Source organism: Homo sapiens, chromosome 18, assembly GCF_000001405.40.
Source record: "Homo sapiens chromosome 18, GRCh38.p14 Primary Assembly".
NCBI lineage: Eukaryota > Metazoa > Chordata > Mammalia > Primates > Hominidae > Homo > Homo sapiens.
Window position 1 is genome coordinate 14,846,497 of NC_000018.10, and position 22,366 is coordinate 14,868,862.

The following is a 22,366-nucleotide window of genomic DNA, read 5'->3' on the forward strand; positions in this document are numbered from 1 at the left end:
TTCTACCACTTGAGCAAGGGGTTTAGAAATTTTAGACTATACTTAGGCATTTGTCCATTTCTTTTGCAGTTCTATCTATTTTTGTATCATGTATTTTGAAGCATTTATGTTATTATCTACATAAATATTTAGGACTGTTATGTTTTCTTGATTAAGTGAACCCTTTGTCACTATAAAATCACCTTGTTTATTGCTGGTAATGTTTTTGCTGTGAAATGTACTTTGGTATTAATACAACCACTCTTCCTCAGCCTTCTTTTTTCAAGTGTTAGTGTGGTATATCTTGTTTCATCTTTAACCAATTTTTGTCTTTATATTTAAAGTTTATTTCTTATAGGTGTTATACAGGTAGATCTCACTTGTATATCCGTTCTGACAATCTGCCTTTGAGCAGAGGTTTTTAGACCAGTTTAATTTATAATGTAATTATTGATGTGATAAAAGTTGTCTGTCACCATGCTGTTTGATTTCTGTTAGTCCCAGATCTTCTTTGCTCTGTTTTGTTCTTTTATTGCTTCCTTCAGACTAGTTTAGTAATTTTTATGATTTAGTTTTATATATATATATATATATATATATATATATATATATATATATGTATAATGTTTTTTAGTTATTGATCTGGTTGTATATTTCTTCATGATTTAGTCATATCTTTTTGTGGTATAAGTTTATTTGGCTATTAGGTATAACTCTTTGCTTTGCTGTCTTAGTGGTTGTTTTAGGATTTATAGTGTATGGATTTACCTCATCACAACTCACCTTCAAGTAATATTATATCATATCATAGATGGTATAAGAAATTCCAATCATATATTTTCATTTCTTCACTTCCAGCCAGATACCAGCCTGGATCTGTGGGATTGTAGCATTTGTTAAGTTTAGAATATATTTAGCCAATTTTTCTTCAGATGTTTTTTCTGTCTCTCCTTCTACCTCTTTGTGGACTTACATATTACCTGCTGGGAGTTTGCTCATAGTTCTCTAGTATCTCAAATTTGTGAATCTTTTCTTGCATAGATGATGGCAAATCAATCTATGCTCATATCTACTCAGTGTAGCTTTCATCTGCAGCATTGTAACTTGTATCTCTAGAAGTGCAATTTAGTTTTTAAAAGTATCTTCTATTGCTTTACTTATCTTCTTGATTTTTATTGTAGAATAGAGTTGAGTTACTTATAAACAGCTTGATCCTTTTCATTTTTGCTTTTTATGAGCTGACTCCCCACACCTGAGGCAAGGCCTTTCAGACTATTCATTTTCCTGTGAAGTCTGAGTCTTCCCAGGCAAATCTATAAAAATAGACACTCTTCTTGGCACTATGTGAGCACCAGGTGTGATTTTCTCTAATTTTATAAGTTCCGCCCTGACCTGGCTTGGTCTTAGGTAGTTTTCTGGCTTACATGCAATCTTCATTATTTTGCTAAATACTGGGAGGCAATTTCCAGGGGTTTCTTGCTTTTGCTTCTGTATCTCTGTCTCCTCTTCAGTGTTCTGTTCTATATTGTCTGTCTCCTTTGGTTTTACCAGACTCTAAGATTTATCACTGTAACCAAGAGAGTCTGGTAGGTTCCACCTCAGTTTTTGTTTCCTGTGTCAGGTCTTGGAATTTCTGTCAAGGCAAGAAGCTGAAACATTCATAAGGTTTGCTTTCCACTTTTTTTTTCTGTTTTTCAGGGACTATCATCTTCTTTGCCTAATGTCCACTGTCTAAAAAATTGTTTAGTGTATTTTGTGTGTTTTATTTTTAGTTATTTTAGCTAAGAAGAAAAATCAATACCTGTTGTTCTCTCTTGGCTGGAGGCAGACTACACTAGAGCTTCAGCACATGCCACACACTGGCTAAAATGCTTTTCTTCCCCCCTTGCTCAACTGCTTCCTTTTCAATCTTTGTTCCTCAGTGTAGCCATACATTCCTCGGGGGAATTTTCCGTGGGCCTAGTACAGATCCTATTCTTAGCAATCTATTTTCTTACAGTATCTATCTGAATTTATAATTGTAACTTTTCTGGGGCTTTGCTTTTCAGTATATTTTAAGCTAAACAAGAGCAGAGTTTTTTTTTTTCTGTTTAATCTGCAGAGCTTAGTATAATGCCTTCCACATGGTAGGCAATCAATATATATTTGTTGAGTGTATGAGTTAGTGATTGTTAAAATATGCAGCCCTTTATATCCCAAAAGTACTAATATATTTTATTTCTATCTCCTCCTTGAGACAGATTCAACTACCCTATCAAAAATCTTGGATGCACTTCCTTCTTGTGAAAGAGGAAGGGAACTTAAAAAAGATAACTGTGAACAAATTACAGCAAAAATGGAACAAACGAAAAATAAGTTTTGTGTACTACAAAAGGAACTGTCAGAAGCGAAAGAAATAAAATCACAGTTAGAGAACCAAAAAGCTAAATGGGAACAAGAGCTCTGCAGTGTGAGGTATGACATCCTAGTTTTAAATAAATATTTCAACTATTTATACTAAAAGTATGTAGGATACTTTTTGTAAAAGCTGACTTACCTTCTGAGATTTAACTGGAGAAAAAAATCTGTCTTGTAGAGTGTCAAATTCTTTTAAATAATAAAAGTTCTTAAATGTGAATACTTCCACTGATAATTAATGCATATTTATTTAAATCACAATTTTAATGGCTATATAGAAGGCCATTATTTGGAAATACCATTACTTAGCAAATTAATTTTTTTGATTTTTAATTTTTTGTATTATAAATGCTACAAGACATAACTGCATGTAAATCTTTTTCTACCTTTCTAATTATTGACTTGGAATAAATTCTTCAATATAGAAATATTTAGTTAAATTATAGGAATTTTTAAAAAGTTCTTTGTTCATTACTTCTAAATTGTTCTCAAGAAAATTTATATTCATTTACAGTTCAACAAAGACAGTGTGAAACGGCCATTCTTCTCTCTCCAAGAATCAATTTCCTTTAACTATACACTTTTAATCTTAATGTGCATGGAATATAAAGAAAATATAATTTATGATTAGTTTATTCAACATCTCTCGCTCTCCTACATAAATAAAATTAATTCAGAGTTCTAGGTTAAAAATACATATTATTTTTAGTCTTTAATTAAATATTTATACTTTTTCTTGTTCTAAAGGAGATTTAAAATTTGTTGAAAAATATATAATACTCAACAAGATATGTTTAACTCTTACTCAAAAAAGAAACAAAAGGCATATGGGATGACACATATTAGACTCTTTAATCTAGTCTGAGATCATAATATTCAAATTATTTTTAGGGATATTTGCCATATTTTATAAGTAGAAATATTTATGTCTAATAAATCTGTAAACTTTTTTTATAAAAAGTAATGTCACTTTAATCAGTTAACTCTAAATGATCTGTCCTCACTGAGGACTAATTTTGACTGTGTGATATTTTTAAAAAATAATTTTCAACTTATAAATTTACTAGATAGCTTCCAATATTCTTTTCCATAACAGTTGTCAAAGTTACTAGTAACAGAAACTTTCTAACTAGAAGAAGTTTTTTCTCACTATTTTTCAAGTATGTATGTCATTTGGAAGAGGTTACGGAGTAATGAATACCAGAGAACTAGAAAGAAAAAAAAAATTCAGGAATATAGGAATTTTATTGGAATAATAAACCAGTATAGGAAGAAGTAGATCTCAAAGTGAATTCTATTTTCTAACAAAATGAATTTTAAGATAAGTATGTTTAATGGCAGATTGACTTTAAATCAAGAAGAAGAGAAGAGAAGAAATGTCGATATATTAAAAGAAAAAATTAGACCCGAAGAGCAACTTAGGAAAAAGTTAGAAGTGAAACAACAACTTGAACAGACTCTCAGAATACAAGATATAGAATTGAAAAGTGTAACAAGTAATTTGAATCAGGTAAATCAATCTCTGGCAAAAATTTTATATTTCTGACTTTATTTCATCAGTATTACTTTTAACATCCCTTTGATTTAGTATGTGTTATTCAGGTCTAAATCAAAGAAAAGTATTGTCTTAAAATTAACTATGACTTTTGTAGCTACAGGTATTTATTATAAATTATGGCATGCAAATAGTATCTTATTTCAGTACAAAGAGCTTTTGAAAATAATGATAATCCCTACCATATACTTAGTGATAATTTATTGGTAAGTATTTTATTCCTAGCAACATAGATTAGTGTATTTTTCCTAGTTAACATTTAATACTGACTCAAACATTATCAAGAGGAAGCAAAAGTTAGTGTCGTAGTAAATAAGCTCATGGTTTTCTAAGTAGGGCTCTCTAGATTTTATCTTCTTTACCACTTTTGTTTTGAAATAGAAGACTTCTTTTATATTTACGTATTTACCCAGTAGAATTAACTGAGATTTGGTGGAGAAGTCCTGGATGTAGACTCAGAAGACTTGGAGAAAATCCTACAACTTGATTATATTTTTAATCTTTTCCTTTCAGAATTGTGATAACTAAAAGTGCTTGTTACAATGTCTCAACTTATCAAACATTCATAAATATAATTCTTACAATTAACTATATTTTTTAGAAACACAGAATATCTAGAGAATATTCTCAGGAAAAAGGAACTGAAAGAGCTTCCAGAAATTTTATCTGTCTAAATATATGTAGCACTAAGGCTCTTAGTATGGGATGTTGTATAGGTTAGACATCAGAGTGTAAACCCAATTTTTGTATGTAGTCAAATTGATTAATCTTTTATTTTATGCTTTTGAGCTTGTTGTAATTCAGGGAAAGTTTTTTTTTTTTTTCAATTCTGAGGCTCTTAAAAATTCTCTAGTCGTTTCTCTTTTACTTTCATGAATTCGTTGTCTCCAAATAAATGTTTGAACTTTGGGGAATTTATGCTCTATAGTATTTGAAGTTTTGATTCAATGGTTCTTCAACTGATACCTACTTATAAAAACCCTTTCATTGTATAAACGTACAAGTTGTTCTTTAATTTCAGAGGAACTATGATATGCCATTTTATTGAGTGCTAGTTAAATTTTTATTTTGTTTTATTTAGGTTTCTCACACTCATGAAAGTGAAAATGATCTCTTTCATGAAAATTGCATGTTGAAAAAGGAAATTGCCATGCTAAAACTGGAAGTAGCCACACTGAAACATCAACACCAGGTGAAGGAAAATAAATACTTTGAGGACATTAAGATTTTACAAGAAAAGAATGCTGAACTTCAAATGACCCTAAAACTGAAACAGAAAACAGTAACAAAAAGGGCATCTCAGTATAGAGAGCAGCTTAAAGTTCTGACGGCAGAGAACACGATGCTGACTTCTAAATTGAAGGAAAAACAAGACAAAGAAATACTGGAGACAGAAATTGAATCACACCATCCTAGACTGGCTTCTGCTTTACAAGACCATGATCAAAGTGTCACATCAAGAAAAAACCAAGAACTTGCTTTCCACAGTGCAGGAGATGCTCCTTTGCAAGGAATAATGAATGTTGATGTGAGTAATACAATATATAACAATGAGGTGCTCCATCAACCACTTTATGAAGCTCAAAGGAAATCCAAAAGCCCAAAAATTAATCTCAATTATGCAGGAGATGATCTAAGAGAAAATGCATTGGTTTCAGAACATGCACAAAGAGACCGATGTGAAACACAGTGTCAAATGAAGAAAGCTGAACACATGTATCAAAATGAACAAGATAATGTGGACAAACACACTGAACAGCAGGAGTCTCTGGAGCAGAAATTATTTCAACTAGAAAGCAAAAATAGGTGGCTTCGACAGCAATTAGTTTATGCACATAAGAAAGTTAACAAAAGCAAGGTAACAATTAATATTCAGTTTCCTGAGATGAAAATGCAACGTCATCTAAACGAGAAAAATGAGGAGGTATTCAATTATGGTAACCATTTAAAAGAACGTATAGATCAATATGAAAAAGAGAAAGCAGAAAGAGAAGTAAGTATCAAAAAATATAAATACTTTTCAAACTTCCTGAAAGAAAGTGGCCTTGGCTAAATGCTGAATCTAGTTGAATATATATATATATAAATAGATGATAAATGTACTTACTATATCAGCTTAGAAACATGCCTCATTTCCACCAAATGAAAGTGAAAGCTAAGAGACGTTTTACTTTGAGTAAAGGTATTGTGTCACTGATGAAATTATAAGAGTTTAAGTTAAAGATTTTTAATAGATTAACATTAATGACATTGGCTTATACTGCTGAAATAAAGGTTTTAATGTCTCTTTGTGGCCACATTTTTTGACTACAATGAAGCAGAAAAATGGGAATGCCCATATCAGCAATTAGTATTTTGAAATTAAGATTCAGTTCAGCAATTTACATTGACAGTTAATTCTAAATTTTCCAGAGGAACAGAAGTGTATTTGAAGTATATTTTGAAGTGTACATTTCTGCATCTTGTAATAACACTTTTTAAGTAGCTTTTTATATATTTTATTTGGTAGAATTTTATTTTCATTTATGTCAATTTGACTTAATCTGAACATATTTGAATCTGAAATTATGTATTGTTAAAACCTCTCAATTTTTTAAAGGCATCTGTGTTTTGTTAAATAATACCTTAGGACAAATGTAGTGGATTTTAGCAATATCAAATTTGATTTAATCACCCCACTGGTATTCATAATTTATTTTGAATATTGTTACAAATCATTTGCTCATAATTTCTATTTCAAGGCTCAAAAACTATCATGTGGATAGAACTTTGTCCCACAGAAAGATGATTGTAGCTATCTGTGATTTATTAGCTTTGCATTGGATCCCCATTTTTCAATTCATAAGGGGTGGCAAGGTTCATGTATAGTACAAAAGAAGTGAGTAGAGGAGAGAAACATAGGAGCTGAGGTCAGGAGGGATGTGGAGACCAGGTTACCAAGGGCCTGTAAAGTTTGAAATAAAATTACTTTTATTCTGAGATAAAAATCTATTGGAAAAATTTCAGCAGGTGATTGAATATGTGAGGAACTTTGATGTTGATTTGTGCTTCTAATACAGAAGAAGGAAAGAATTCCACTGTTTAGAATTTACCACCACTAGTCCTGCCTTTTTTTTTTTTTTGAGACTTCAGTAAGTTGTGAAGAATTACAGATTCATTAAGGGAAGAAATTACCAGTGAGATGAATCTTGTGTCTAGTAAGACAGTACCAATTTGGCAGAAAGATTACACCTTCTTGTGTCCTTAAGTAAATTCACTAACAAGCAGCAGTGTGCACAAATGAAGAAAATAAACTGAATCAATATATTTGGGGATCTTTTTGAAAGTAAATATTGTTAATTTGATAAGATGATTCACAAAATCAAAAACATGTCTTTTCAGGTCATTGTGAGACAACTTCAAAAAAAATTGGCGGATCTTAATAAACAGTGTGAGGCTTCACTAAAGGTTACATCACATTCTCACTCTCTGAGGCATCAATAGAGGCTACATCACATTATCACATTAATCTCAAAGGTGAGATACAGGATTTAATGAGGAAATGATTTCAAATCAAAAGTCAAGTGTGTGTTAAATGTAACATGCCAACAGTGAGTCTATAACTGGTTAAATAATATAAATTGTTTTATGATACTAATATCCACAGGAAGACTTCTTTTATATGTTCATTATAATTAGTTTTATTACAATTTTATTATCTTTATAATGTGCTTATTTTTAAAACTGTGGCTATCATTCTGCAATGTTTTTCTTTTTTTTTTCAGATTAAACAGTAAAGTTTATTGTGAACATTTGCTTCTTTTTCCATTTTAAAGTTAAACAAGAAGAAAAGGTAAAATGAAAAGAAATAACCAAAAATTTACTTCCCAAGATAGGATGTACAGAACTAAAATGATAAAAGTCATATAACAATGGTACCCTAAACCACCCACCTCACAGCATAGTGCAGAGATGTCCTGGCAGTGCTTCTGGTGTGTGGGATGGGGGTAGAATCCCATGCATGAGAAGGGGACAGGTCCTTTCTTCACAAGACCAGTCTTTGCTCCAGAAATGAATCCTTATCATGAATCCCTGACACGTTCAGTGTTTTCAGTTATTTTTCTTGGCTGTAGGAATGTCACAATGGACTGCAGAGTGTCATACATAGTTTTCAGTAAAATACTGGACAATAGAGTTTATAGTCTCCCATTTAGGTACAAGCCTAGACAGACAGGAACACTTTTTTATAATTATAAAAACACAAATTTCCTTGTTTTGTGGAAATAAATCCCAACTATTGAACCTTCTAGTTAAGAGATTGACAACTCTATACTTGGTTCAGGATACTTTCTCCCCTCTTTTCTCTCTTCCTGTCCCAAGACTCCAAGTTCCTGTCTTATGGTTAGCTAGGAGAAACTATCCACGAACACACACACACACACACACACACACACACACACACACACACACACACGCTCTACCCTTGGGGTGATGCACTATGCTTTTTTTATTATTATTTATTGATCATTCTTGGGTGTTTCTTGGAGAGGGGGATGTGGCAGGGTCATAGGATAATAGTGGAGAGAAGGTCAGCAGATAAACACGTGAACAAAGGTCTCTGGTTTTCCTAGGCAGAGGTCCCTGCAGCCTTCCATAGTGTTTGTGTCCCTGGGTACTTGAGATTAGGGAGTGGTGATGACTCTTAATGAGCATGCTGCCTTCAAGCATCTGTTTAACAAAGCCCATCTTGCACCGCCCTTAATCCATTTAACCCTGAGTTGACACAGCACATGTTTCAGAGAGCACGGGGTTGGGGGTAAGGTTATAGATTAACAGCATCCCAAGGCAGAAGAATTTCTCTTAGTACAGAAGAAAATGGAGTCTCCTATGTCTACTTCTTTCTACACAGACACAGTAACAATCTGATCTCTCTTCCTTTTCCCCACATTTCCCTCTTTTCTTTTTGACAAAACTGCCATCATCATCATGGTCCGTTCCCGATGGTGGCTGTCTCTTCGAAGCTGTTGGGTACACCTGCAGAAAGGCTGTCACTTCACACTTGGAAGATTGCACAACGGCCAGGCAGAGGTGCTCCTTACTTCCCAGATGGGGCGGCTGGGCAGAGGCGCTCCTCACTTCCCAGATGGGGCAACCAGGCAAGAGGTGCTCCTCATTTCCCAGATGGGGCGGCTGGGAAGAGGCACTCCTCACCTACCAGATGAAGGGCAGCCAGGCAGAGGCACTCCTCACATCCCAGACGATGGGCGGCCGGGCAGAGGCACTCCTCACCTCCCAGACGGGGCGGCTGGGCAGAGGTGCTCCTCACCTACCAAGGGGGGCAGCCAGGCAGAGGGGCTCCTCACCTCCCAGACAATGGGCAGCCAGGCAGAGGTGCTCCTCATTTCCCAGACGGGGTGGCCAGGCAGAGGCACTCCTCACCTCCCAGACGTCGCGGCCAGGCAGAGGTGCTCCCCACTTCCCAGACGGGGCGGCTGGGCAGAGGCGCTCCTCACCTCCCAGATGAGGCGGCCTGGCAGAGGCGCTCCTCACCTCCCAGATGATGGGCAGCTGGGCAAAGGCGCTCCTCACCTCCCAGACTGGGCGGCCAGGCAGAGGTGCTCCTCGCCTCCCACATGGGGTGGCCGGGCAGAGGCGCTCCTCACCTCCTAGATGGGGTGGCCGGGCAGAGGCGCTCCTCACCTCCCAGACGGGGAGACCAGGAAGAGGTGCTCCTCACTTCCCAGATGGGACGGCCAGGCAGAGGCGCTCCTCACTTCCCAGATGGTGTGTCATCCGTGAAGAGGCGCTTCTCACCTCCCAGATGATTGGCAGCCAGAGAAAGGTGCTCCTCACTTCCCAGATGGGGCGGCCGAGAAATGCCACTCCCCATTCCCAGATGGGGTGGAGGTCAGGCAGAGGCGCTCCTCACCTCCCAGATGGGGCAGCCGGGCAGAGGCGCTCCTCACCTCCCAGATGGGGAGGCTGGGCAGAGGCGCTCTTCACTTCCCAGAGGGGGTGGCCGGGCAGAGGCGCTCCTCAACTGCCAGACCGGGCGGCCGGCCAGAGGAACTCCTCACCTCCCAGACAATGGGCGGCTGGGGAGAGGTGCTCCTCACCTCCCAGATGATGGGCAGCCAGGCAGAGGCGCTCCTCACTTCCCAGATGGGGCGGCCGGGCAGAGGCGCTCTTCACTTCCCAGATGGCGCGGCCAGGCAGAGGCGCTCCTCAGTTCCCAGATTGTGTGTCGTCCATTCAGAGGCACTCCTCACCTACCAGATGATGGGCAGCTGGAGGGAGGCACTCCTCACCTCCCAGATGGGGCGACTGGGAAGAGGCGCTCCCCACTTCCCAGACAGGGTGGGAGCTGGGCAGAGGCGCTCCTCACAACCCAGACAGGGTGGCCGGGCAGAGGCACTCCTCACCTCCCAGACAATGGGCAGCCAGGCAGAGGCACTCCTCACTTCCCAGATGGGGCGGCTGGGCAGAGGTGCTCCTCACTTCCCAGATGGGGCAGCTGGGCAGAGGCGCTCCTCACTTCCCAGATGGGGCAACCAGGCAAGAGGTGCTCCTCATTTCCCAGATGGGGCGGCTGGGAAGAGGCACTCCTCACCTACCAGACGAAGGGCAGCCAGGCAGAGGCACTCCTCACATCCCAAACGATGGGTGGCCGGGCAGAGGCACTCCTCACCTCCCAAACGGGGCGGCTGGGCAGAGGTGCTCCTCACCTCCCAGGGGGGGCAGCCAGGCAGAGGGGCTCCTCACCTCCCAGACAATGGGCAGCCAGGCAGAGGTGCTCCTCATTTCCCAGACGGGGTGGCCAGGCAGAGGCACTCCTCACCTCCCAGACATCACGGCCAGGCAGAGGTGCTCCCCACTTCCCAGACGGGGCGGCTGGGCAGAGGCGCTCCTCACCTCCCAGATGAGGCGGCCTGGCAGAGGAACTCCTCACCTCCCAGATGATGGGCAGCTGGGCAAAGGCGCTCCTCACCTCCCAGACTGGGCGGCCAGGCAGAGGTGCTCCTCGCCTCCCACATGGGGTGGCCGGGCAGAGGCACTCCTCACCTCCTAGATGGGGTGGCTGGGCAGAGGCGCTCCTCACCTCCCAGACGGGGAGACCAGGAAGAGGCGCTCCTCACCTCCCAGATGGGGCGGGCTGGCAGAGGCGCTCCTCACCTCCCAGATGATGGGCAGCTGGGCAAAGGCGCTCCTCACCTCCCAGACTGGGCGGCCAGGCAGAGGCGCTCCTCGCCTCCCACATGGGGTGGCTGGGCAGAGGCGCTCCTCACCTCCTAGATGGGGTGGCCGGGCAGCGGCGCTCCTCACCTCCCAGACGGGGAGACCAGGAAGAGGTGCTCCTCACTTCCCAGATGGGGCAGCCAGGCAGAGGCGCTCCTCACTTCCCAGATGGTGTGTCATCCGTGAAGAGGCGCTTCTCACCTCCCAGATGATTGGCAGCCAGAGAAAGGTGCTCCTCACTTCCCAGATGGGGCGGCCGAGAAATGCCACTCCCCATTCCCAGATGGGGTGGAGGTCAGGCAGAGGCGCTCCTCACCTCCCAGATGGGGCAGCCGGGCAGAGGCGCTCCTCACCTCCCAGATGGGGAGGCTGGGCAGAGGCGCTCTTCACTTCCCAGAGGGGGTGGCCGGGCAGAGGCGCTCAACTGCCAGACCGGGCGGCCAGCCAGAGGAACTCCTCACCTCCCAGACAATGGGCGGCTGGGGAGAGGTGCTCCTCACCTCCCAGATGATGGGCAGCCAGGCAGAGGCGCTCCTCACTTCCCAGATGGGGCGGCCGGGCAGAGGCGCTCTTCACTTCCCAGATGGCGCGGCCAGGCAGAGGCGCTCCTCAGTTCCCAGATTGTGTGTCGTCCATTCAGAGGCACTCCTCACCTACCAGATGATGGGCAGCTGGAGGGAGGCACTCCTCACCTCCCAGATGGGGCGACCGGGAAGAGGCGCTCCCCACTTCCCAGACAGGGTGGGAGCTGGGCAGAGGCGCTCCTCACAACCCAGACAGGGTGGCCGGGCAGAGGCACTCCTCACCTCCCAGACAATGGGCAGCCAGGCAGAGGCACTCCTCACTTCCCAGATGGGGCGGCTGGGCAGAGGTGCTCCTCACTTCCCAGATGGGGCAGCTGGGCAGAGGCGCTCCTCACTTCCCAGATGGGGCAACCAGGCAAGAGGTGCTCCTCATTTCCCAGATGGGGCGGCTGGGAAGAGGCACTCCTCACCTACCAGACGAAGGGCAGCCAGGCAGAGGCACTCCTCACATCCCAGACGATGGGTGGCCGGGCAGAGGCACTCCTCACCTCCCAGACGGGGCGGCTGGGCAGAGGTGCTCCTCACCTCCCAGGGGGGGCAGCCAGGCAGAGGGGCTCCTCACCTCCCAGACAATGGGCAGCCAGGCAGAGGTGCTCCTCATTTCCCAGACGGGGTGGCCAGGCAGAGGCACTCCTCACCTCCCAGACATCACGGCCAGGCAGAGGTGCTCCCCACTTCCCAGACGGGGCGGCTGGGCAGAGGCGCTCCTCACCTCCCAGATGAGGCGGCCTGGCAGAGGAACTCCTCACCTCCCAGATGATGGGCAGCTGGGCAAAGGCGCTCCTCACCTCCCAGACTGGGCGGCCAGGCAGAGGTGCTCCTCGCCTCCCACATGGGGTGGCCGGGCAGAGGCGCTCCTCACCTCCTAGATGGGGTGGCCGGGCAGAGGCGCTCCTCACCTCCCAGACGGGGAGACCAGGAAGAGGCGCTCCTCACCTCCCAGATGGGGCGGGCTGGCAGAGGCGCTCCTCACCTCCCAGATGATGGGCAGCTGGGCAAAGGCGCTCCTCACCTCCCAGACTGGGCGGCCAGGCAGAGGCGCTCCTCGCCTCCCACATGGGGTGGCTGGGCAGAGGCGCTCCTCACCTCCTAGATGGGGTGGCCGGGCAGCGGCGCTCCTCACCTCCCAGACGGGGAGACCAGGAAGAGGTGCTCCTCACTTCCCAGATGGGGCAGCCAGGCAGAGGCGCTCCTCACTTCCCAGATGGTGTGTCATCCGTGAAGAGGCGCTTCTCACCTCCCAGATGATTGGCAGCCAGAGAAAGGTGCTCCTCACTTCCCAGATGGGGCGGCCGAGAAATGCCACTCCCCATTCCCAGATGGGGTGGAGGTCAGGCAGAGGCGCTCCTCACCTCCCAGATGGGGCAGCCGGGCAGAGGCGCTCCTCACCTCCCAGATGGGGAGGCTGGGCAGAGGCGCTCTTCACTTCCCAGAGGGGGTGGCCGGGCAGAGGCGCTCAACTGCCAGACCGGGCGGCCAGCCAGAGGAACTCCTCACCTCCCAGACAATGGGTGGCTGGGGAGAGGTGCTCCTCACCTCCCAGATGATGGGCAGCCAGGCAGAGGCGCTCCTCACTTCCCAGATGGGGCGGCCGGGCAGAGGCGCTCTTCACTTCCCAGATGGCGCGGCCAGGCAGAGGCGCTCCTCAGTTCCCAGATTGTGTGTCGTCCATTCAGAGGCACTCCTCACCTACCAGATGATGGGCAGCTGGAGGGAGGCACTCCTCACCTCCCAGATGGGGCGACCGGGAAGAGGCGCTCCCCACTTCCCAGACAGGGTGGGAGCTGGGCAGAGGCGCTCCTCACAACCCAGACAGGGTGGCCGGGCAGAGGCGCTCCTCACCTCCCAGACAATGGGCGGCCAGGCAGAAGCACTCCTCACTTCCCAGATGGGGCGGCTGGGCAGAGGCGCTCCTCACTTCCCAGATGGTGTGTCATCCATGCAGAGGCGCTCCTCACCTCCCAGATGATGGGCAGCAGGAGAAAGGTGCTCCTCACTTCCCAGACGGGGCAGCTGGGCAAAGGCGCTCCCCACTTCCCAGATGGGGTGGCGGTCAGGCAGAGGTGCTCCTCACAACCCAGACGGGGCAGCCAGGCAGTGGCGCTCCTCACTTCCCAGACAGGGCTGCCGGGCAGAGGCGCTCCTCACTTCCCAGAGGGGGTGGCCGGGCAGAGGCGCTCCTCACCTCCCAGATGGGGCAGCCGGGAAGAGGCACTCCTCACCTCCCAGACATTGGGTGGCCAGGCAGAGGCACTCCTCACCTCCCAGATGGGGTGGCTGGGCAGAGGGGCTCCCCACTTCCCAGACAAGGTGGCCGGGCAGAGGCGTTACTCACCTCCCAGATGATGGGCTCAAACAAAGGGCCAAATTACCTATAAAGTAAATTAGATTAACAACTGACTTATCAGCAGAAACCCTGCAACCTAGAAAAGATTGGGGCCTAGCGTTAGTCTTCTTAAAGAAAAAAAAATGCCATCCAATAATTTTTTTTTTTTGGAGACAGAGTCTCACTTTGCCACCCAGGCTGGAGTGCAGTGGTGTGATGTCAGCTCACTGCAACCTCTGCTTCCTGGATTCAAGCAATTCTCCTGCCTCAGCCTCACCAGTAGCTGGGATTGCAGGTGTGCACCACCACACTTGGCAAATTTTGGTATTTTTAATAGGGAGTTTCTTCATGTTGGCCAGGCTGGTCTTGAACTGCTGACCTCAGGTGATCTGCCTGCCTTGGCCTCCCAAAGTGCTAGGATTACAGGTGCGAGCCACTGCACCCAGCCAGTGCAAGAATTTCATAACCTGCCAGACTGAGCTTCATAAAGAAAGGAAAATAAGGTATTTCCAGACAAGAAAATGCTAAGGGAAGTCGTTACCTCCAGACTGACTCTAAAAGAAATGTTTAAAGGAGTTTGGCTCGTGAAAATAAAAGAATGATACTTGCTACCATAAAAGCATACATGAATACAAAATGTACAGAACCTATAAAGCAATTAAACAATTGAGACTACAAGGTAACTAGCTAACACTATAAAAGGAAGAAAACCTAACACATCAATATTAAGCTTGATTGTAAATGGCTGAAATGCTCCACTGAATAGACACAAAGTGGCAAACTGGATAAAAAAAAGAAGACACTTCTGCTGCCTTTGAGAGACCCATCTCATGTGTAATGATACCAACAGGCTCAAAGTAAATGGATGGAAAAATATTCATCACATAAATGAAAAACAAAAAAGGAGAGGTATTGCTATTCTTGTATCAGATAAAACAGACATTAAACTAACAACAGTAAAAAGAAATACAAAGAATGACATTATATAATGATGGAGTGTTCAATTCAACGAGAAGACTTAACTGTCTTAAATATATATGCAGCCAACATTAGAGCACCCAGATTTTTAGAATAAATATTACTAGACCTAAGAAAAGAGATACACAGCTGTACAATAATCATGGAGGACTTCAACACCCCACCGACAGCAGTAAGCAGATTAGTTAGGCAGATTATTAGGCAGAAAACTAACAATGAAACTGTGGACTCAAACTGGGCTCTTGACCAAACAGACCTAATAGATATCTACAGAATACTCCACCCAGAAACCACAGAATGTACATTTTTCTCATTTGCACATGGAACATTCTCTAAAATTGACCACATGCTCAGTCATAAAATAAGCCTCAATAAATTTTTAAAAATCACAACTATATTAAGTGTCTTCTCGGACCACTGTGGAATAAAATTAGAAGTCAATATCAAGAACTCTCAGAACCACAGAGGTACATGGAAACTAAACAATCTGCTCCTGAAAGACTTTTGTGTAAATAACAGAATTAAGGCGGAAATTTAAAGAAATTCCTGAAACAAATGAAAATAGAAACATAACATACCAAAACGTCTGGGATACAGAAAAAACAATGTTAAGAGGAGAGTTTATAACACTAAATGCCTACATAAAAAGAGAGAAAGATCTCAAATTAACAAGCTAAAATAGCCAAACACACTAGAAAAGAACAAACCAAACCCAAAGCTAGTAGAAGGAAATAACAAAGGTTAGAGAATAAGTTAATGAAATTGGGACCAAAAAAACCATACAAGGAATCAGCAAAATTAAAAAGTTGGTTCTTTGCAAGGACACATAAAAATGATAGATTGCTAGTTAGATTATACAAGAAAAAAGAAGATTCCAATAAGCACAATAAAAAATTACAAATGAGACATTGCAAAGGATACCACTGACATAAAAAAAGATCCTCAGAATATGTTTGTGTGCATAAACTAGAAAACCTAGAGAAAATGGATAAATTCCTGGAAACACACAACCTTCCAAGACTGAATCAGAAAGAAACCAAAAGTCCACTAGGGCAGTGCCAACAGGAAATATGGGATTGAAGCCTCCACACAGTCCCCACTGGGGCACTACCTACAGGAGCTGTGGGAATGGGGCCGCCACCTCGAGATCCCTGAATGGTAGAGCCACGGGAAGCTTTCATCCTGAGCCTAGAAATACCACAGGCACTCAACTCTGATCCAAGACAGCAGCCATGGTGACTGTACACTGCAAAGCCACAGAGGCAGAGCTGCATAAGGTCTTGGGAACCCACCCCTTGCACAAGTGTGCCCTGGATGCGGGACATGAAATCAAGAATTATTTTGGAGCTTGAAGGTTTTATGTTTGCCCTACTGGGTTTCAGATTTGCCTGAGGCCTGTTGCCCCTTTCTTTTGCCCAACTTCGCCATTTGGGAATTGGAATATTTACCCAACACCTGTACTGCATTGAATATTGGAAGCAAATAACTTGGCTTTGATCTTATAGGCTCACAGATGGAGGAACGTACCTTGAAGTTCAGATGAGATTTCGGACTTTTGAGTTGATGCTGAAACAGCTTGAGATTTTTGGGGACTACTGAGAGATGATAATTGTATTGTGCAATATGAGAAGGACATGAGATTTGGTGGGCATAGGTGTGAAATGACATTGTTTGGATGTGTTTACCCTCCAAATCTCTTGTTGAATGTGATCTTAAACGTTGGTGGTGGGCCTAGTGGAAGGTGTTGAATCATGGGGGTGGACTCTTCATAATTTGCTTAGCTCCATCCCCTTGGTGATGAGCAAGTCCTTGCTCTGTTGTGTCACATGAGAGCTGGTTGTTTAAAACAGCCTGCCGTGTTCCCCTTCTTGCTATTCATTTCTCTCTTGACACGTGATACACTGGCCCTCACTTTGCCTTCCTCTGTGATTGGATGCTTTCTGAGGTCTCACCCAAACCTGAGCAGGTGCTGGTCCCATGCTTCTACTGCCTGCACAACTATAAACCAAATAAATATTTTTTCTCTATAAATTTAAAAAAAATCTGAATAAACCAGTAGTTAATTATGAAATTGAATTTGTAATAAAAATATTTATCAGGCAGGAGAAGCCCAGGACTAGATGAATTCACAGCTGAATTTTACCAAGCATACAAAAAAATAGATGGTATCAATCTTACTGCAACCATTCTAAAACATTGAGGAGAAGGAATTCCTCTCTAACTCATTCTACAAAACCAGTATCATCCTGACACTAAAATCTAGCAAGGAAACAACAACAACAAACTACAGGCCAATATCTGATGAACATAGATGCAAATATCCTCAACAAAATGCTAGCAAACCAAATCCATCAGCATATCAAAGATGTAATTCATCATGATTACATGGGTTTTATTCCTGGGATGCAAGGACTATTTAACATATGCAAATCAATAAATGTGATTTACCATATAAACAGAATTTAAAACAAAAATCATATGATTATCTCAATAGATGCAGAAAAAAATATTCAATAAAATTCAACATCCTTGCCAGGTGCGGTGGCTCAAACCTGTAATCCCAGCACTTTGGAAGGCAGAGGTGGGCCAATCAACAGAGGTCGGGACCAGCCTGACCAACATGGAGAAACCCCATTTAGAACTAAAAATGCAAAATTAGCTGGGCGTCGTGGTGCATGCCTGTAATCCCAGCTACTCAGGAGGCTGAGTCAAAAGAATGGCTTGAACCGGGGAGGTGGAGGTGGCAGTTTGCCAAGATCACACCACTGCACTCCAGCCTGGGCAACAGAGCAGGACTCCGTCTCAAAAAACCAAACCAAACCAAACCAAACCAAAACAAAAAAAACCCTGAAATCATATCAATTATTTTTTCTGAGCAGAGTGGAAGAGTATTAAAAAATCAGTAACAGGAGGAATTTTTTTCCTGACCGTCTTTGGCTCCCTCTCTCACCACCCTTTTTCTTCCTCCATCTACCCCAAAACTTTTTCCCCACCATTTTTTCCCCACTGTCTTTTTGCAAAGCCTTCTATACTTTACCGCTCACTTCCATTTTCCCCACCCATCTACCCCAAAACTTTTCCCCAACGTCTTTTCTCCCTCTCCCTGGCCAGCCTTTTTTCCACCTCCTGCTCTCATCATCCTCTTTTGCTCCTTCAACTCCCAAAAACATTTCCCTCATCTTTTCCCAAAGCCTTCTCCCCACTCCTGCTGCTCGCCACCCTCTCTTTCCCCTTCCATCTACCCAAAAACTGTTTCCCTATCATCTTTTTCTCCCATCCTCCTTGCCACCCTTTCCCTTCTCCATCTACCAAAAACATTTTCCCGCCGTCTTTTTGCAAAGCCTCTTCTCTCCTCCTGCTCACCACGCTCTTTTAACCCATCTACCTCCCCAATTTTTCCCTGCCACCTTCTCACAAAGCCTTCCCCGCTTCCCGCTCACCCTCTTCTTTCCTCTGTCCTGCTTGCCACCCTCTTTTTGCCTTCCATCTACCCCGAACTATTTTCCCCATCGCCTTTTTCCCAGTCCTCTTTCCCCACTCCCTCTGGCCACACTTTCTATTCTCCTCCCACTTGCCACCCTCTTCTCCCCCTCCATCTACCCAAACACTTTTTACCCACTGTCTTTTCTTTCTACACTTTCTTTTCTGCCTATCGTCTTTTCGCAAAACCTTTTCACTTTCCTCCTCGCCACCCTCTTTATCCTTCTCCCACTGGCCACCCTCTTTTCCCTCTCCATCTACCTAAAAGCTTCTCTCCTCACTGTCTTTTCACAAAACCTTCTCTCCCTCCTGCTTGCCACTCTCTCTTCCCCCTCCCTCTCTGCACCCTCTTTTCTCCTTCCACTTGTCACCCTTTTCCCCCCTCCATCTACTCAAAATCTTTTTACCTACAGTCTTCTTTCCCTTTCTTCTCTCCCCACCGTATTTTTGCAAACCTTCTCTCCTTCCTGCTCATCCCCGTTCCCCACTCACGACCCTCTCTTACCCCCTTCCATCTACCCAAAAACTTTTTCACTACCGTCTTTCTGTGAAACCTTCCGTCCCTCCTGTTCACCACCCTGTTTTTCCCCCTCCATCTACCCCCAGTTTTTTTTTTCCCAACATCTTTTCCTCACCATCTTTATGCAATGCCTTCTCCAGCTCACCATCCTTTTTTCCTTTTGGCACTAACCACCCTCTTTACCCTTTCATCTATCCCAAAACTATTTTCCCTTTCCTACCGCTCCAGCCACACTACAGTCTCTGTCACCACCAACTGCAGGGAGGCCAGCCATGGTGCCACAGGCTACAGCCTCCAGTCTGTCCTGGTCCTCTAAGCCGGGCTCAGAGCAGCTCGGTGAGCAGATACAGAAGAACCTGGAATAGCCTGACTCTTCTTCAGCACCATTTATGTACTGAGGTTATGAATATGCCTTTCCTGGACTACACGTTCCAGGATTGGATAAGAGAAAGCCCGGAGGCCTACTCTGATTGGACTTTGTTATCATGTTCTGATTGGATGAAAGAAAGTCTTAGGACAACCAATCAGAGTATGAAAATAAAGTCCAATCAGAGAAGGCCTAGAGGTTTTCTCTCACCCAATCGGAACATGTAGTCCAGAAACCATGTGCGTAACCCCACGTGCATGCTGAGGAGGCCTCATGCCAGTTTAGGCTCTCCAGTATCTCCAGCCAAGCTACTCTGTTCCCGGCTTAGAGGACCAGGAGAAGGGGGAGCTGGAGGCTGGAGCCTGTAACACTGTGGCTCGTCTCACTCTAGATGGTGGTGGCAACAGAGATGGCAGTGTGGCTGGAGTGTTAGGAGGGTGGCCTGAGTGGTAGGAGGGTGGCCTGAGTGGTAGGAGGGGGGCTGGAGCAGTAAGATCATGGCCGGAGTGGTAGGCGGGAGGCTGGAGCAGTAAGATGGCAGCCGGGGCGGTAGGAGTGCAGCCTGAGCTGTAGGAGGGTGGCTGGCAGCTGGAGCTGCTCTTGACCAGCTAGAGGTCTAGGAGAAGGTGGGGACCGTGCCCAACGCTGGCAGCTGGAGCCTTGGCCACCATGGCTCGCCTGGTTGCGGTTGGTGGTGGCAACGGAGACTGCATCTCTGTTAGAGTAGTAGAAAGATGGCAGGGTAGGTGCGCTCTCTGCAGCTGCACTGCCCGCTTGTGGGGTGGTGGTGGGGTGGGTTGGGTGTGCTTTTGGGGCTGCACTGCCTGCCGCAGGGGGCTAGTGGGTGGCGCTATCGGGCGTTGAATTGCTGGCAGTGGGGCAGGTTCACTGCGCTATCAGGGTCTACACTGCCTAAGGTGGCAGGCGGTTGGAGGCAGGTTGTGTGCGCTGTCGTGCACTACCAGCGGCGGGTGGCAGGGGGTTAGGGGAATTAGCTGCTGCACTGGCCAATGCAGGGGGCAGGTTGGGTTAGCTACCATGAGCTACAATGTCAGCAACAATGCCAACTGGCAGGCAGTCCGGGGGTGCTTTAGGGGAGCTGTCAAATGTTGCATTGTCCGTGGGGGAAAGGGGAAGGTGGGGTCGGGGGGTTGGTTGGGTGCAGTACCCCGGGCGTTCACTGCCTGTGACAGGAGCAGATTGGGGGCGCTATCTGGGGCTGTGCTGCTTGTGGTCCGGGTGGGGGGCGGGTTTGATGGGGCACTATTTGGTGCTGCAACACCCGTGGCAGGGATGGGTTGTGGACACTATCGAGTGTCCACCACGGGTGGTTTGGGGGTGCTATCAGGGTAACACTGCCTGCAGCAGTCTCTGGGTGTGTTGTGGGCACAATCTGGGGGCTAAGCTTGTGGGGAGGGGGGGCAGGTTAGGGGTGGTATGGGGGGAGGCTGCACTGCTGCTGCCAGCAGCAGGTTGTGGAGGTGGCCATGACAGTGGTGGCCTCTGAGGAAGGGGCCCTTCTCCTCTTCCTGGACTCAAGGTTCTAGAGGGTGAACAACTTCTGCTCGTGTTGGAGCGCAGAGGGTGCACAGAGTTTTCACGGCAATCCTCTGACCACCGCAGGGCCTTCGCACCCACCATGGTTACCCGGCCCTTGCCCTCTTGCTCTGTGTTGTGGAGACCATCTGGGAGCCCCAGGCATGGAGTAGTGGGCACCACGGGGGCTCAGGGTCCTGTGGGTGGAGGAGTCAGGAATGGGAACTGGTACTTGGGTGGGGAGGACTGGCTGGGTCTGAGTTTCTGCTATTCTTGCTCCCCAGGGAGCCCCGGGCACTGTGGTGTCTCCAGTCCCCACCCCAGGTCAGGAGGCCAGCTTGGTCTAGGAGGAGAGGCTGGACTTTGGAGGGTGGGTGTGAGAGCCTTCGCCAAAACTGGCCCCAGCCACCCAGTGGCCAGCATGACAAGGTGAGGCTCTAACACTGTCACTTTCTGCATCCTGTTGTAGGTTTTTCTGGCATTGTCTGCCCAGCTGCTCCAAGCCAGGCTGATGAAGGAGGTGTCCCCTGTGGTGAGCTGGAGGTTGGAGCCTGAATATGGCACAGCTCTGTGATTCATCTCCTATGGTTGTGGCAGCCATGGTGATGGAGACGGCAGCTCAACAGGAGCGGTAGGAGGGTACCTGTGGAGGCCAAGTGGTAGGAGCCTTGGAGGGTGGGCAGGTGCATGGAGGGTGACAGCAGCGCTGGTTCCTTTGGCGTCAGTGCTAATGGTGGCAGCAGCAGCAAGTCTAGGGGCCAGGAAGGGGGAGTAGGAGGGCTTTGGGGCCTGGCCCAGCCTGGGATGTGTAAGAAGCTGCTGGTTCTGTACCACAGGCCTCAGTGATGGTGGAGGTGCAGCCAGGGCAAGGAGGAGTCCTCCCCCTTCTCCTGCAGTCTCTGGAGGGTGCCCTCCTTCTGCTGGCATCTGAGCCAGGTGTGAGTGGCAGCATTGTTTTGTTCTTAACAGAATTTAGGGGCTTACGATTTGTGTATCTTTTTGTTTTTGGTTGTGATAAACCTTAAGGGACAAAAGGCTTCTTTCCTGGGTTTTGGTGTTGTGGGATCCCCCCATGTAAGATAAAGGGTGCTTTCTTGGCAAGCTGTGTGTTGGAGGGAGTTCACCAAGGGGAAGAAAGGGAACCTCTCAGGAGGGTGGCTGCTGTGGCAGGTCCCCTGCCTCTGGGCACCCTTTGGGCCACCTAGTTTCCCCTGTGGAAGAGGCGAGGCTTAGACCGGTATCACTTGTATCATCAAAGAGGCATCCTCCTGGACCAGTTGATTTGACCTTCCCACTTCTTCAGCCCACCTGCCCATGGTGTCACCTGGGGAAAGTGGAACCTTAGGCCACAGGGGCAGAGGCTTCTCCGGCAGGCTGATTGCTGTAGCAGATTCTGTTCTGCCTGCTGCTCAGGAGGGCTTCTATGGCC

At 45.9% G+C, this 22,366-nt stretch overlaps 1 protein-coding gene across 7 annotated transcripts in view; it reads left to right on the forward strand.

Annotated features, from left to right (window-relative positions):
• ANKRD30B (ankyrin repeat domain 30B) overlaps positions 1–22,366 on the forward strand; it is a 192,964-nt gene that overhangs the window by 98,325 nt on the left and 72,273 nt on the right. For 3 of the 7 annotated variants that reach the window (XR_007066151.1, XR_007066152.1, XR_935057.3), the window contains exons 40-46: positions 2,220–2,433; positions 3,718–3,886; positions 5,013–5,924; positions 7,313–7,447; positions 7,696–7,763; positions 8,932–9,073; positions 21,407–21,568. Coding sequence is in view for 3 of the 7 variants with exons in the window: in NM_001367607.2 (NP_001354536.1) it covers positions 2,220–2,433; positions 3,718–3,886; positions 5,013–5,924; positions 7,313–7,414 (1,397 nt within the window). In the remaining 4 variants the exon portion in view is untranslated. Of the gene's footprint in view, positions 1–2,215; positions 2,434–3,717; positions 3,887–5,012; positions 5,925–7,312; positions 7,448–7,695; positions 8,172–8,931; positions 9,074–21,406; positions 21,569–22,366 lie in introns of those variants that run through there. The other 4 variants (XR_935058.3, NM_001367607.2, XM_011525664.3 and 1 more) reach the window with 4 other exon arrangements.